This window comes from Homo sapiens, chromosome 1, assembly GCF_000001405.40.
Source record: "Homo sapiens chromosome 1, GRCh38.p14 Primary Assembly".
Taxonomy (NCBI): domain Eukaryota; kingdom Metazoa; phylum Chordata; class Mammalia; order Primates; family Hominidae; genus Homo; species Homo sapiens.
In genome coordinates, this window is record NC_000001.11 from 11,599,886 (window position 1) to 11,614,815 (window position 14,930).

The 14,930-nt window shown below is 51.1% G+C and overlaps 1 long non-coding RNA gene across 1 annotated transcript, besides 1 other annotated feature; it reads left to right on the forward strand.

Annotated features, from left to right (window-relative positions):
- Positions 954-1,454: an enhancer, noted in NCBI's record as "H3K27ac hESC enhancer chr1:11660896-11661396 (GRCh37/hg19 assembly coordinates)". NCBI's record gives its function as "activates a minimal SCP1, AML or CMV promoter by ChIP-STARR-seq in primed H9 embryonic stem cells {active_cell/tissue: H9 hESC(primed)}" and the evidence as "EXISTENCE:reporter gene assay evidence [ECO:0000049][PMID:30033119]".
- Positions 9,646-13,470, forward strand: LINC01647 (long intergenic non-protein coding RNA 1647). The gene is made up of 3 exons (NR_104624.1): positions 9,646-10,228; positions 11,958-12,093; positions 12,905-13,470. It is a non-coding gene; the product is annotated as a long intergenic non-protein coding RNA 1647 (long non-coding RNA).
- The last annotated feature ends 1,460 nt before the right edge of the window (positions 13,471-14,930 follow it).

A 14,930-nucleotide genomic window follows, 5' to 3' on the forward strand; every position in this document is an offset into this window, starting at 1 on the left:
TTGAGACTCTCCCAAGACCTCACTTTCCCCTAGTCAAGCCCCATGGCTTTAATCCCAATATTGTCTATGCTGTGGGCTTGCAGCTTGGTTCCAAGGAGTTGTTTTTTTTTTAATGAGGAGATGGCAGAGGGACCACGATGACTGAATCAAAGGGGCAGGAGGGGCTGCCGCCGGCTCCTTCCCGGCTTCCTCCTGGCTCCTCCTCTGAGCCCCTCTCTCAGCCATGGTGAGGGGTTCCTGCCAGGGACAGTGAAGGTGTCAGAAAGGCTCTGACTGAGACTTCACAGAAGCCAACAGCAGGCCCTAGACCTGGGCCAGGCCCAACACAAAAGGACTTTTAAAGCCCTCCCCAGTATCAAAGCAAACAATGTCCAGTAACAGCCCACACTCAATAGAACATATTTGCCAACAATTTTTAAAGGGGATTTTATGATTTTGCTTTTGGAATTGCCTGGCTACCAGGCACTGATTTAATTGGCAGTTGGCTATGCTTTCTCATCCATTCTCTTGTCTACTTGGGAATTCTTACCAAGTGAGAAAATGTAGCTGACAAATTGCTTTCACGCATAATGACACATTTATGAATACCTAATGTGGTAATTAATGCAGTTGACCTAATATTACATTTTGTAGACATTTAACATTTATTAATTTCGATTTCACAGTTTTCTTTTCCCATTTGGTAGCCAATAAATATTTTAAGGTCTCAGATATTTTTGCAGGATCTTTAAAAGCTCATACACCCAAAGTCCTAGAGTGACCTGGAATAAGGAACTTCTCTGGGCCTCAGCTTCCCTGTCCTGCTCTCCAGCCCCCCGAAGGACTCTTTAGAACCACACTTGGTCAGTCCAAGGCCAAGGCCAATAGGAGCTGCCAGCAATGCCCACAATGGAGAGAAGCGCAGAACCACACGAAGACGGAAACAAAAACCTTCCTCTCACCCATCAAGAGCAAAGCAATAAAAAATGTTATTTTGCCAGTCGGTTGAATTTCATTTGTGTGGTTTGGAGTGTATTTCCTAGTTAATGAACCTGCCACATTTATGACCTCCCTTCTTCAATTCAATAGAGAGGAATGGGGAAAAGAAACGGGGAAAAGCTGCAATATTTCCCCCACGCAGCCGGCAGCTGACAGCTGCAGGTCTGGGCAGGGCAGTGCTGCACAGCTGTGGACCCAACAGCCCAGTCAAGGACAAGCCTGCCAGGAAAGCGTTTGCACCTGCAGCATAAGTGTTCTGGGTTTGCTCGGGGAGAATCCTCAGCAGACAGGTGTGCGCTCCCCTCCAGGTATCTTGACTGGGTAAAGGTGACTGGGACTGCCTTTCTCTGCCAGGCAGGCTCTGAGGTTAACAACTGACCAGGGCCCTCTACCTAGATGAGTAGGTTTGGGAGAAAAGGCCAGAGAGACAGGGACACACTCATGGGAAGAGGAGAAGAGGGGAAACCCGTGGCAGATGTGATTATCCATGAGGCGGCATAGGGGTTGGGTCCTGAATTTTCCATGGCAGGGGGAACCAGTGGTTCCAGCCACAAACACACTTCCCGCTCCTTCCCCTAACCCAGTACTGCTCCCTGGGCTATTTAAGAGGCTGGGCGGGTTGTGCATCGTGGCTCATACCTGTAATCCTAGCACTTTTAGAGGCCAAGGCTGGAGGATCGCTTCAGCCCAGGCATTCTAGACCAACCTGGGCAACATGGTGAGACCCCATCTTTACAAAATAAAAATTTAAAAATTAGCCAGGCATGATGGGCCATGCCTGTGGTCTTAGAACTTTGGGAGGCAGAAGTGGGAGGATCACTTGAGCCCAAGAGGTCAAAGCTGCAATCATCTGTGTTTGTGTCACTGCACTCCAGCCTGGGTGACAGAGTGAGACCCTGTCTCAAAATAAATAAATAAATAAAAAAGGCTGGGCCACCTTCCAGGGAGGAGCCCAAGGCCTCACCCTCTGGGGAGGAAGACCTCGGCTGGGGAGCCCACCATCACCCAAGCTGAAGACATTCCCATTCCCAACCACACTGGCCAGGGACGAGAAAGGCATCAACTGGGGTGACTTTGCAAGGCCACCATGAGCATGGGCTTTGGCATGGAAGAACCTGTCCAAGCTGGAAGAATCTCTTTTCCTCTCTGAGCTCTGCCTCCATGGCTCCCGCCCCTCTGGCCTTCACTGCAGGCCTGGCTGAACTACACAGGAGTGGATTGTGTCTTCCTCCACTTATTCACACGCACTTCGCATCTGCTGTGTACAGACACTGGGCTAGACACTGGGTGGAAGGGAGATGGCCGTGAACAAGGCACACAACAGCCCCGTGCCGCTGGAATTCACAACCCTCCTGGAGAAACAGACAAGTACAGCAGTCACAAGAGATTAAGCCACGATCTGATGGGGGAAATTCAGAGCGGGGATGCCTCCCCAGGTGGAATGTTTAGGGAAGACTTCCTGGAAGAGGGGCAGCTCAGCCGGGAAGCAAGGAGGGGACTCCCAGAGGGAGCCTGGAGCCAGGATGGTCCGTTCAGCTCCACCAGAGTCAGAGCCCCGAGGCCTGCCTCCAACAGCAGCAGCAGCAGCACCCACATAGTCACTGGGGATGGGGAGGGGCACCCGTGGAGTCGGTCTAAGTCCCAATTTCAGGCTTCCAGGGCCTCAAATCTTCCACTTTCCAGAGCAGCATGAGAAACTGAAAACAGCCCTGCCTGGCCCTCCCAGGGGATTTGCATTTTAAGAGGGATCTGAGCCTGGAACAGAAAGATCCACCCCCTGTGTCAGCCCCTGCTCCTCATTCTCCATCCCAGCCAGCCTCGGCCTCAGGCACCCTCTCCATTCCCACCTCTAGTCTCCAGCCCCAGACCCAGGCACACATCTTGTGGGGTGACCCACACTGGGGCTCCTGTTTCCCTGATTAGCCTGGGGAACACTGAGTCTTAAACAACAACTCCCACTCTTGGCTCGGTCCAGCCCTGAGCTCAGTGTCCCCACCATGTGATGGGGGAAGGGGGAACTCCGGGTCCTCCAGGGCCCAGCTCTCCCATAGGATGGTGGTAGGGAGGGGAATCAGGAAAGGAGAAATGATGGATTACTACATCCTCCGACCTGCTAAGGCATTCACATTTCAAGAGGGGTGTCTAGAGACAGTGCCTTAAACTTTAGGAGAAGGGTCAGAGGTGAAGTTGAGGAAACTGAGGCCCAGAGAGCTTGGGGAACCAGCCACGGTTGGGTTGCAGAACTAGTAAGCATCCCTGCCCTGGCCTACATCCAAATCTGCCTGGTTCAAAAGTTTATGCAGTTAACCACCAGACCATCAGGCCACAAAAAACCCAAACGCCTGCCTAACAAGGTCAAGCAGGTCAGGAGGTGAGCGGACTGTGAGTGGTAGGCACCACCAGGAGCTGGCACACACAGGTGCCATCTGCAGAGACAACCAAAGTCCAGTTGCTGTCGATGGCTGCCCCGTGGAAATGCAGGCCCCCATGTTATGAGACCAGCTGATTTTTCCAGAAAGCAGGAATTCAGATTTTTATATGAAATACTCTGGTTTGTAAAAGCTATCTAATGAAAATGCATTTAATTAGATGCTGTGTAGGTCAAATAAGACATACTTACCCCCAGTCTGCATAAATTCATTCAATAAATATTTAATGAGCACCTATTATGTGACAGGTAGGGTGACCAAATAGTCCCCATGTACCCAAGACTGTCCCAGTTTTAAGACTGAAAGTCTCAGCCAGGCACAGTGGCTCATGCCTATAATCCTAGCACTTTGGGAGGCCGAGGCGGGCGGATCACCTGAGGTCAGGAGTTTGAGCCCAGCCTGGCCAAAATGGTGAAACTCCATCTCTACTAAAAATACAAAAAATTAGCCAGGTGTGGTGGCACGTGCCTATGGTCCCAGCTACTCAGCAGCCTGAGGCAGCAGAACCATTTGAACCTGGGAGGTGGAGGTTACAGTGAGCCAAGATGCACCACTGCATTACAGCCTGGGTGACACAGTGAGACTCTGTCTCCAAAAAAAAAAAAAAACTGAAAGTCTCACATCCTGGGAACCACCTCAGTTCCTTAGCAAGGTACCGTGCTACGCTTTGGTGCTATGGTGGGGTGGGAGTATAGAGAATACGACAAAGTCCCCACCCTCGAGGAGCTTACACGATGGTAAACACATACCCAGGGTAAGGCACAGAAAATAACACAGGGAAAAGGATAGATTCAACGGTGACTTGGGGAGCAGAGTGGCCGCTTTGGCCAGTGCAATCAAGGAGGACTATTCTGAGGAGGTGACATTTATTTAAGATGAATTCTGAATAAGAAGACGGTCAAGAAAATCTCTACAGTAACAAAGATACTCTGGCGAAAATATGAAAAGATGTTTGCACAAGTTTATTCACGGCAGCTCCACCCGTAAAAGCAAGACTGGAAACAACCCAAGGATGATTAATATCGGAGTGGTTGAATAAGTGATAGCACAGGCCCACGAAGGAGGAGAGCTACGCAGCTGTAGACAGGAGTGAGGGAATCTGTGTAAACTGCTGTGCAGGGATAGGGTCTCACTCTGTCACCCAGGCTGGAGCGCAGTGGTGCGATCATAGCACCAACCTCTAACTCCTGGGTTCAAGTGATTCTCTGGCCACAGCCTCCCAAGTAGCTAGGACTACACGTGTGCACCACCATGTCTGGTTGACTTTTTCTTTTTTGAGATGGAGTCTCACTCTTGTTGCCCAGGCTAGAGTGCCATGGCGCAATCTCGGCTCACTGCAACCTCTGCCTCCCAGGTTCAAGCAATTCTTCTGCCTCAGCCTCCCGAATAGCTGCAATTACAGACATGTGCCACCACCCCTGGGTAATTTTTGTGTATTTTTAGTAAAGATGGAGTTCCACCATGTTGGCCAGGCCGGTCTTGAACTCCTGACCTCAGGTGATCCACCTGCCTCAGCCTCCCAAAGTGCTGGGATTACAGGTGTGAGCCACTGTGCCTGGCCAGAATTTTTTTGTTTTCAGTAGATACAGTGTCTCACTTTGTTGCTCAGGCTGCTCTCAAATTCCTAGACTCAAGTTATCCTCCCATCAGCCTCCCAAAGTGCTGGGATTACAGGTGTGAGCCGCCACACCCAGCTGTGCTTATATTTTTAAAAAGTAAGCATAGGAAGGGCACAGTTCAAATCTTTGATCACATCAGGCCTGCTAACATCCCACTGACCCAAACAAGCCCAAAGTCAATGGACAAGGATGTACTTTATGCTCACTGGGTGGCCCCAACCTGTGTGGATGTTTACATAGATCAATGAAGAATGGACTCAGTCTACCACAAAGAAGGGGTGCTGGATTAGGACAGGGTTTCTCAGGGGTTCTCAGCCTTGGAGATATTGACATCTGGGCTGGGCAACTGCTGGGCGTGTGGGACTACCCTGTGTGTCATAGGATGTTTGGGAGCAACTCTGGCCTCTGCCCATGAGATGTCAGTAGCATCTCCCCAGTCCAAAAATGTCTCCAGTCATGGCCAAATCTCTCTTGGGGGCAAAACCACCCCCACTGGACCACTGGATCCAATACCACCATTATACATGCCCTTATGAGTTAAAGCATCTATGCTATGCTCATCAGTGGCTGGTTAAACTCACAAAAAGAGAAAGCATGTCATTGTGAACCTCCCAAAGAAAGCACACTGCATTGCTGCGCGCCTGTAATCCCAGCTACTCGGGAGGCTGAGCCAGGGGAATCGCTTGAACCCGGGAGGCAGAGCTTGCAGTGAGCCGAGATGGCGCCACTGCACTCCAGCCTGGTGACAGAGCAAGACTCTGTCTCAAAAATAAATAAATAAATAAAATAAAAAAGAAAGCACACTGCATTACCTTTGGCGTATTCTTGCTCAATATCTCACCTGACTGTGATCAAGCCTCTAGACCTAACTGCCATTTTGCAGGAGCAAAAGGGACAGGAGAACATATTAAATGACACATTGAAGATACGATCAGCAAAGTCCAGAGAGCAGGAACTCTAAAGTATATGCAACTCAGTTTCTTCACCACGTCAATTGCAAGGACAGAGAGAGAGAGAGAGAAAAAAAAAATATGAAGGGTTAACTTACAGAACAAACAAGGCAAAGGCATAAAATAAAAGAACACTTACCTGCATTAAAAAGCCACCTAATTCTGGAGACGGGCAGAAACCCACAGCGTTCCAAGTAAAAGTGCCATAAAAATAAATTGAAACCTTGCATTTAAAAAATGTATGGGCCAATGGGGAAAATTGGAACACTGACTAGATTTGGATGATATTAACAGAATAAGGTTTATTTCTTAAGTTTGATAAGAGCATCGCGATTATGTTTTGAGGAAGAGCATTTTTTTAGAGATAACGCTAAAATATCAACAGAATAAATGACACGATGTCTGGTTTTTGCTTCAACACGATACATTGGGGAGAGGGGTTCATTATTCGATTGTGTTTCTACTGTCTCTGAAAGTTTTCCATAATAAAAAGTAAAAACAAACAAAATAGGATGGGAGTGAGCGTTCCAGACACAGGCTTCAGAGGCCACTGCCAAGGTCCTGAAGCTGCTGTGAGTCTGACCAGCTCGAGGGTAAGCCAGGCCAGAGCCGCTGAAACCCAGGAGATGACCGGGAGAAAAGCAGACTGAGCTCAGACACAGGAGGGGCCTGCCTTGCAGAGTCTTGGGGCCAGCAGAGGGGCATGGGGTTTGCTCTCATTGCCAGAGGAGCCATTACAGAATTGTGGGAAGGGACATGGTAGAACCTGATCCTGCCTTTAAAAGAGACTTTTGGCTGGGCACGGTGGCTCATGCCTGTAATCCCAGCACTTTGGGAGGTTGAGGTGGGATGGTCGTTTGAGCCCAGGAATTTGAGACCAGCCAGAGCTACATAACAAGACCCCATCTCTATAACAATTTTAAAAATTGGCCAGGCACGGTGGAGCATGCCTGTAGTTTCAGCTATGCAGGAGGATGACTTGAGCCCAGGAGTCCAAGGCTGGAGTGAGCTATGATTGTGCCACTGCACTCCAGCCTAGGTGACAGGGCAAGACCCTGTCTCAAAACAAAACAAAAAAGAACCTTTTGATTAACAGCATGTGGTATGTCCATGCAATGAAATAGTACTCAGCCATCAAAAGAAATGAAGTTCTGATGCACGTTGCAATATGGGCGAACCCTGGAAGCACCATGATAGATGAAAGCAGCCAGTGACTCAAGGCCACATCGTGCGTGACTCCACTTAAATGAAATACCCAGAATTGGCAAATCCACGAAGACAGCAGCTTAGTGGTTGCCAAGGGCTGGGAGAGGGGAGAATGGGACCAAGTGCTAATGGTACAGGGCTTCTTTCTGGGGGGATGGAAATGTTCTGGAATTAGATAGCAGTGATGATCGTACAACATAGTGACTATACTAAAAATGGCTGAAGGGTTCCCTTTAAAATGGTGAATTTTAAGCCGGGCACGGTGGCTCATGCCTGTAATCCCAGCACTTTGGGAAGCCAAAGTGGGTGGATCACCTGAGGTCAGGAGTTTGAGACCAGCCTGACCAACATGGTGAAACCTTGTCTCTGCTAAAAATACAAAAATTAGCCAGGTGTGGTGGCATGTGCCTGTAGTCCCAGCTACTCAGGAGGCTGAGACAGAATTGCTTGAACCCGGGAGATGGAGGTTGCAGTGAGCTGAGATGGAGCTACTGCACTCCTGCCTGGGCGACAGAGCAAGACTCCATCTCCAAAAAAAAAAAAAAAAGGTCAATTTTATGTTATAGGAACTATGTTTCAATAAAAACATTTTTTTTTAGGCCAGGTGCAGTGGCTCACGCTTGTAATCCCAGTACTTTGGGAGGCTGAGGTGGGTGGATCACTTGAGGTCAGGCCTTCAAGACCAGCCTGGCCAACATGATGAAACCTCGTCTCTACTAAAAATACAAAAATTAGACTGGCATGGTGGTGGGCACCTAGCTACTCGGGAGGCGGAGGCAGGAGAATCGCTTGAACCCGGGCAGTGGAGGTTGCAGTGAGCTGAGATCACGCCATTGCACTCCACCCTGGGTGAAAGAGTGAGACTCCGTCTCAAAACAAACAAAATAAACAAAAAACAAGCTTTTTTTTTTTTTGTTTTTTTTAGTGGATGCATGGAAAGGATCCTTTTGGCTGCTCCATGGGGAATCAGCAACTAACTAGCCAGGAGCCTGGAATCATGAAGCACAGCAGAAAGTGCCATGGGCACCCGTGCAAAAGACCAAGCAGCAGTGATGGGAAGCACCCAGTCAGCTCCCCCACGGGGCTTCATGGAGAGGAGGGAAAGAAGGAACAGGGAGGACCCCAGGCCTGAGCCTGTGGGTGGAAGTTGCCACTACTGGTCAAGAGGGAGCAGACTAGGCTTGGGCCGGAACAGCTTCTGCTTCACGTTTGTTAGATTCCACGTGTTGGGGTGGTCATTAGGGCGGTTCTCCTCCAGGCACTTGTAAGCTAGAGGGATGTGCAAGCGGGGTGGAGCAGGTATTTGATTGCTGATCCCAGAGGTGCTGGAACTAGCCGCACCAGGGTGGCCAACAACATTCAAGGTAGTGGCTGCCCCACCAGCCTGAGTCCTGGATGGAGAAGACACAAGCAAAGCCCCCTGTGGCTCAGGACAGCTGTCAGCAGGTGAGGAACACGCCTTTGTTGTTGCGAGCCCCTGCAATCTCAAGGTGGTTGTGGTTGTGAGAGGTGACAGCGTGCTGGCAGTCCTCACAGCCCTCGCTCGCTTGCTCTCGGCGCCTCCTCTGCCTGGATTCCCACTTTGGCGGCACTTGAGGAGCCCTTCAGCCCACCGCTGCACTGTGGGAGCCCCTTTCTGGGCTGGCCAAGGCCGGAGCCGGCTCCCTCAGCTTGCAGGGAGGTGTGGAAGGAGAGGCGCGAGCGAGAACCCGGGCTGCGCGTGGCGCTTGCGGGCCAGCTGGAGTTCCGGGTGGGCATGGGCTTGGCGGGCCCCGCACTCGGAGCAGCAGGCCGGCCCTGCCGGCCCCGGGCAATGAGGGGCTTAGCACCCGGGCCAGCGGCTGTGGAGGGTGTACTGGGTCCCCCAGCAGTGCCAGCCCACCGTGGGGCAGGGCTCGGGACCTGCAGCCCTCCATGCCTGAGCCTTCCCCCACCTCCGTGGGTTCCTGTGCAGCCCGAGCCTCCCCCACGAGCGCCGCCCCCTGCTCCATGGCGCCCAGTCCCATCGACCACCCAAGGGCTGAGGAGTGCGAGCGCATGGTGCGGGACTGGCAGGCAGCTCCACCTGCAGCCCCGGTGTGGGACCCACTGGGTGTAGCCAGCTGGGCTCCTGAGTCTGGTGGGGAGGAGGAGAACCTTTATGTCTAGCTCAGGGATTGTAAATACACCAATCAGCATCCTGTGTCTAGCTCAGGGTTTGTGAATGCACCGATCGACACTCTGTATCTAGCTACTCTGGTGGGGCCTTGGAGAACCTTTGTGTGGACACTCTGTATCTAGCTAATCTGGTGGGGACGTGGAGAACCTTTATGTCTAGCTCAGGGATTGTAAATGCACCAATCAGTGCCCTGTCAAAACAGACCACTCGGCTCTACCAATCAGCAGGATGTGGGTGGGGCCAGATAAGAGAATAAAAGCAGGCTGCCCGAGCCAGCAGTGGCAACCCGCTCGGGTCCCCTTCCACACTGTGGAAGCTTTGTTCTTTTGCTCTTTGTAATAAATCTTGCTACTGCTTACTTTTTGGGTCCACACTGGTTTTATGAGCTGTAACACTCACCACGAAGGTCTGCAGGTTCACTCCTGAGCCAGCGAGACCACGAGCCCACCGGGAGGAACGAACAACTCCAGACGTGCTGCCTTAAGAGCTGTAACACTCACCGTGAAGGTCTGCAGCTTCACTCCTGAACCAGCGAGGCCACGAACCCACCAGAAGGAAGAAACTCCGAACACATCTGAACATCAGAAGGAACAAACTCCAGACGCGCCACCTTAAGAGCTGTAACATTCACCGCAAGGGTCCGCGGCTTCATTCTTGAAGTCAGTGAGACCAAAAACCCACCAGTTGCGGACACAGTTGTTGTCACAGCCCGGCCTGCCCCAACCTGCCTCAGAGGAAGCATCGGAGACACTCCACCAGCTTCTCCCATGGCTTCCCTCATCCTGGGGCCAAGGCAGCATCTGGTACAGAGCTGAGGCAGGGGAGAGATATCCTTGGAGCCAACATCCATGTGTTTAACCTGGATCCTCTGTGCCTGAGCAACTCAGGGTGGGTACATAGGAGAGGGCCAAAAAGTGTGGCCTGCAGTCAAGCAGGGGGGTACCAGAGCAGACTCGGGGAAAGGGGATTGAAATCAGTTGGAAAAGTTAAAGCAATTTAAGGAAAAGCAAATATCAGGGCTTAATCAAGTGCTAAATTGAATATAATCCACTGCCACAGAGGGTTGACAGCTGTGGACACAGCCAGTCCAAGCGGGTGAACAGCAGGGAGGCCTGGGCGCTCAGGAAGGTAGCCCTGTGTGTTTCAGGGCACAGGAAACGCAGCAGCGTAGGGCAAAGGCACTGATGGGAGGACCTGAGGGACCCAGGAGGGAGCAGGACACCCTTGAAAGAGCTACCCAGGTTCCCTGGGGTCTTTTGTGAGCCTGGTCCCTGCAGGGACCCCCAGGAAGATGAATCCATTGTTCTAGCGTTTTCACCCCTGTGCCTCCTCATCTTTGGGGTAAGACCTTGGCTCTAGAAGGCCCCTGTCACGATGCACACTTCCTACCAAGAGGGAGAGTGTGCAGGCAATAGATTAGCTGCCCCCCCAACACCCCCAAGAGACCGGAACCCTGAAGAACCTGGGGTGACGGGCACCACTGTGAGGGGCATGTTGCCACCACAGACCAAACATAAGCCTGCGCCTCCAGCCCAAAGGAGACCTGCGTTCTAGGCACCAGCCCCTCCGCACTCCCACTCCTAACCCTCACTCCCACTCTCCTCCTCACTCCCACCCTCTCCTCCCATGGCTGTTTGAAGTCAGTCACACACAGGCCAAAGCCACTTTGAGAATCATACTGTGTGTGACTTATACCCTCTCATGACCCACCCTTGAGGCTCTACTACTGGGAAATCAGCCAGGTCCCTGACCCAGCAGCTCTGAAGACCAGGGAGGGAGGAGGCACCTGGCCGGTTATTGGGCATTTAACAGCAGTGCTTGGCACAGGGATGGCCTGGGAGGCTCTGCCTTCCTGAGGAACAGAAGAGACCCAATCCTAGCCCTGGGCTCTGACCCTCCAGTGGAAATTGTTGCCAAGAGAAAATCTCAACCCATCACTTCCTAGCTGCAAGATGCTGGGAAAATTACTGCATCTTTCTGAAGCTCAGTGTTTCTATCTAAAAAATGGGGATTAAAAAATACATATAAGCACCTAAAGAGGAGAATCCACGTCAAGTGTTTGGAATACTGCCTGGCACATCATGAGTCTTCGTTGCATGTTGTTGTTATTGCTGCTGCTATTATTAAAGCCTAGGAGAAGCTGGCCTCTCCTCTCGCCAGACTCTGCCTGGATAACTTCATAGCAGCTTCTGGCTGGAGGAAGCTGACTGTTTGGAAACAGACAGAGACAGGTTCAATCCCAGCGACACTATTACTAATTAAATGACCTTGAATGACCTTGGGGAAGTTGCTTAAATTCTCCATGCCTCAGTTCCCCATTTATGAAATCAGCATAGTAACGGTACCTATCTTCCAGAATTACCTGGCTCAAAGGAAGTGTTGACTGTTGAATTAAATGAATAAAGAAATGAATGCTGGTATGCCAGTCAGGGGCTTTTGGTCACGAGCCACAAAAGCCCAACCAAGCTAGTTCAAGGGGAAGGGCATCTAGCAGCTCTGGTAATGGAAAAGGCCAGGTGTGATAGCACTGGCTTCAGACACAGCTGAATCCAGGGACTAAAGCCTATCCTTTGACCTCTTAGTGCTCTCTCTCTGTCTCTGTCTCTTCTGCACACAGCTTCTTCCATGTGGCAGGGGCGGGGTGAGGCCACAGACAGCTCCAGCTCACATCAACCCAGCTAATGGCTTCACAGGAAAGAGGGAAGCAAAATCCCAGAGAAGTCTGATTGGCCCGGCCTGGATCTCATGGCTGTGTAAGTAGGGAGGGCTGCAGGGATGCAACCGTCCCCACAGCCAAATGGAGTGACGGGGGGATGTCTCTCCAGGGGACGGGGTTCTGTTACCAGAAGGGGAAGAAATGAGACTGGGCAGGTACAAACGGTATGGCTATATCAGGGGTTCCCAGCAGAGGGCCTGGGCAGCTAGCCAGGGTGGGGCCACAGCCTGTGAGCACAGAGGAGAGAGAAGAAGACAGGGGAAGGAAGTAGAGGGGGAATAAGGGAAAGGGGTAGGGCCTGGACCACCTGGGCTAAACCTCTGAGCTAAGCATCTATATGGGCCCCCAAAACACACACATCCACTGTGTAACAACCACCCTGTTTGTGTGAAGCCAACCCCACGATAGCCCCAAACCCTCCTGCCAAGAGGTAACCCATGCCCCTCGCCACAGCAATTGGTTTAGATAGTGAGCTGATCAGTTTGTGTCATTCCTCTGGCCATACATCTTGGCTCTGAAGTAGGGGGGCCAGTCAGCCCTCCTTCAGGCTGAGGACTTTTGCTGGGATTCTAGGACACAGACATCTCTCTCCTTTTGGACTAGGAGGTACGGCTGGAACTATGCAGCCTTTCTGCCACCATGAGGGAAGCCCTCTTCTAACCAAAACTAACATCAGAAATAGAAAAGACTGGAGAGATAGGAAAATAATTGGGCCTTGTTGATACCAGCTGCTGAGTCAAATAACCCTGGAGACTGCCTTAGCCCTGTACTCCCAGTAACACCTGCTGATAAAGCCCTGGTGTGGCTGAAGCCACTTTGAGCTGAGTTTTTCTATTACATTTTTGCAGGGGCAATGGAAAAGCTGAGGGAACTGGAGAACAGCTGCTGTCCTCTCCCTGCGCACATCTGTTCTGCCTCATGCCAAAGGGAGACAATGGCTAAAGGGGGCCTGTACTGGTCAGGCCCTGCAGAGAAACAGAACACACAGGTTGTGTATGCATGTATAGGTAGGTAGGGAGACAGAGAGTGGGGAGAGAGAGAGGTTCGAGAAATTGGCTCATGTGATTACAGAGGCTGGCAAGTCCAAAATTTGCAGGGTGGGTGATACGGTTTGGCTGTGTCCCCCCACCAAATCTCATCTTGAATTGTAGCTCCTGTAATTCCCACATGTCATGGGAGGGACCCCATGGGAGGTAATTGACTCATGGGGCTGAGTCTTTCCCATGCTGTTCTCATGATAGTGAATAAGTCTCAGGAGATCTGATGGTTTTATAAAAGGGAGTTCCCTGCCCAAGCTCCCTCTTGCCTGCTGCCATGGAAGACGTGCCTTTGCTCCTTTGCCTTCCACCGTGATTGTGAGGCCTCCCCAGCCTCGTGGAACTGTCAGTCCATTAAACCTCTTTTTCTTTATAAATGACCCAGTCTCAGGTATGTTTTTATTAGTAGTGTGAGAACAGACGAATACAGTGGGCCAGCAGGTTGGAGACCCAGAGAAGAGCCGATGCTGCAGCTCGAGTCCCAAGGTTTCTGCTGCAGAATTACCCCTTCCTCAAGGGAGGTCAGGTTTTGTCTTATTCAGGGCTTCAACTGATTGGATGAGGCCCACCCACATTATGGCGGGCCACCTGCTTTCCTCAAAGTCCACTGATTTGAATGTTAAGCTCATCCAAGAACACCTCACAAAAAGATCCAGAATAAGGTTTGGCCACATATCTGGGCACCATGGCCCAGTCAGGCTGACACATCAAATTAACCATCACTGGGTCCCCAGATGCATCTTGTTCGACCTCCTCATGCAGAGATAAAGAAGCAGAGGTCCAGAGAGGCCCAATGGTCTGTCCAAGGTCACAGGGCAATGTAGCAGCAGAGCCTCACTGCCTCCATCCTGACTCCCAGGCCAGGGGTCTCTGGACAGTCCCCTTTCTCCTGTATGGCTCATGGAAACCCAGGGACCAGAGGAGACAGACCAGAACAGGAGCCACAGGCGACAGGCCTGAGTCATTGGCCTGAGAGAACAAATTCAGGTTGGCATGCAATTTGCATACTATTTCCATGTTGTTCCCTAAAGTTCAAAATCTACAGAAATTCCCCAGTTCTGCTTCTTTTCTTATGGCCTCCTGGTTTCAGCTGCATCTGTTTGGAAGGACCCCAGAAGGCACTGGTTCTTTGGGTGGATCACCTGCCCCCTGCCCTCTCCTGACGCTGGCCCTGAGACTGCAAGGGCCACCAGGGCAGGAAGCCCTTTCTTCGACCTGATCCGGGTTCTCCACGGTGTCGACGCACCACTGCCCACGTGGGTGTCGCTTTCAGGTGGTGCACGTGTGGACATTTTTTAATAGTCATGTATTCATTTTTATGTTGCTCTGAATTTATGACTGGGGATGCTGGTTTCCTATTTATGGTGGTGATATAAAGTTTCCCTTTAAATGAAATTTCAGTTTTTTAAAAGTGAGTCAATGAAAATAAAAATAGTAAGTAAATAATAGAACAGGCAGTATGTCGATATGGCCAAAACAGAGATGAAATGACTGAGAGTTTTAGGAATGCTGGACTGATGGAAATGTCTCCTGCTACCATGTCAGCCCAGTGCCCAATTCCACTTGACCTGTCGTCAGTGGAGGGGGTCTTATGTGTTGGGAAGAAGTGCCTTACTAGCTTTGAGACACTGAGGCACCATGGTGTGCCCAGCCACCTTGACCCAGAACCCTGTAGTCCCAGGAAAAGGTCTGGCACTAGTTCTTGCGACCCAGCGTCTATCCACAGAGCATCTCACCAGGACCCTCTTCCTCCCATGCCTCCCAGAAGGGGAGTTGTGTTTCCCCACCTAGACCACCCACCAACATGGAAACAAGCCATTTCTCCATGCATAAAAGC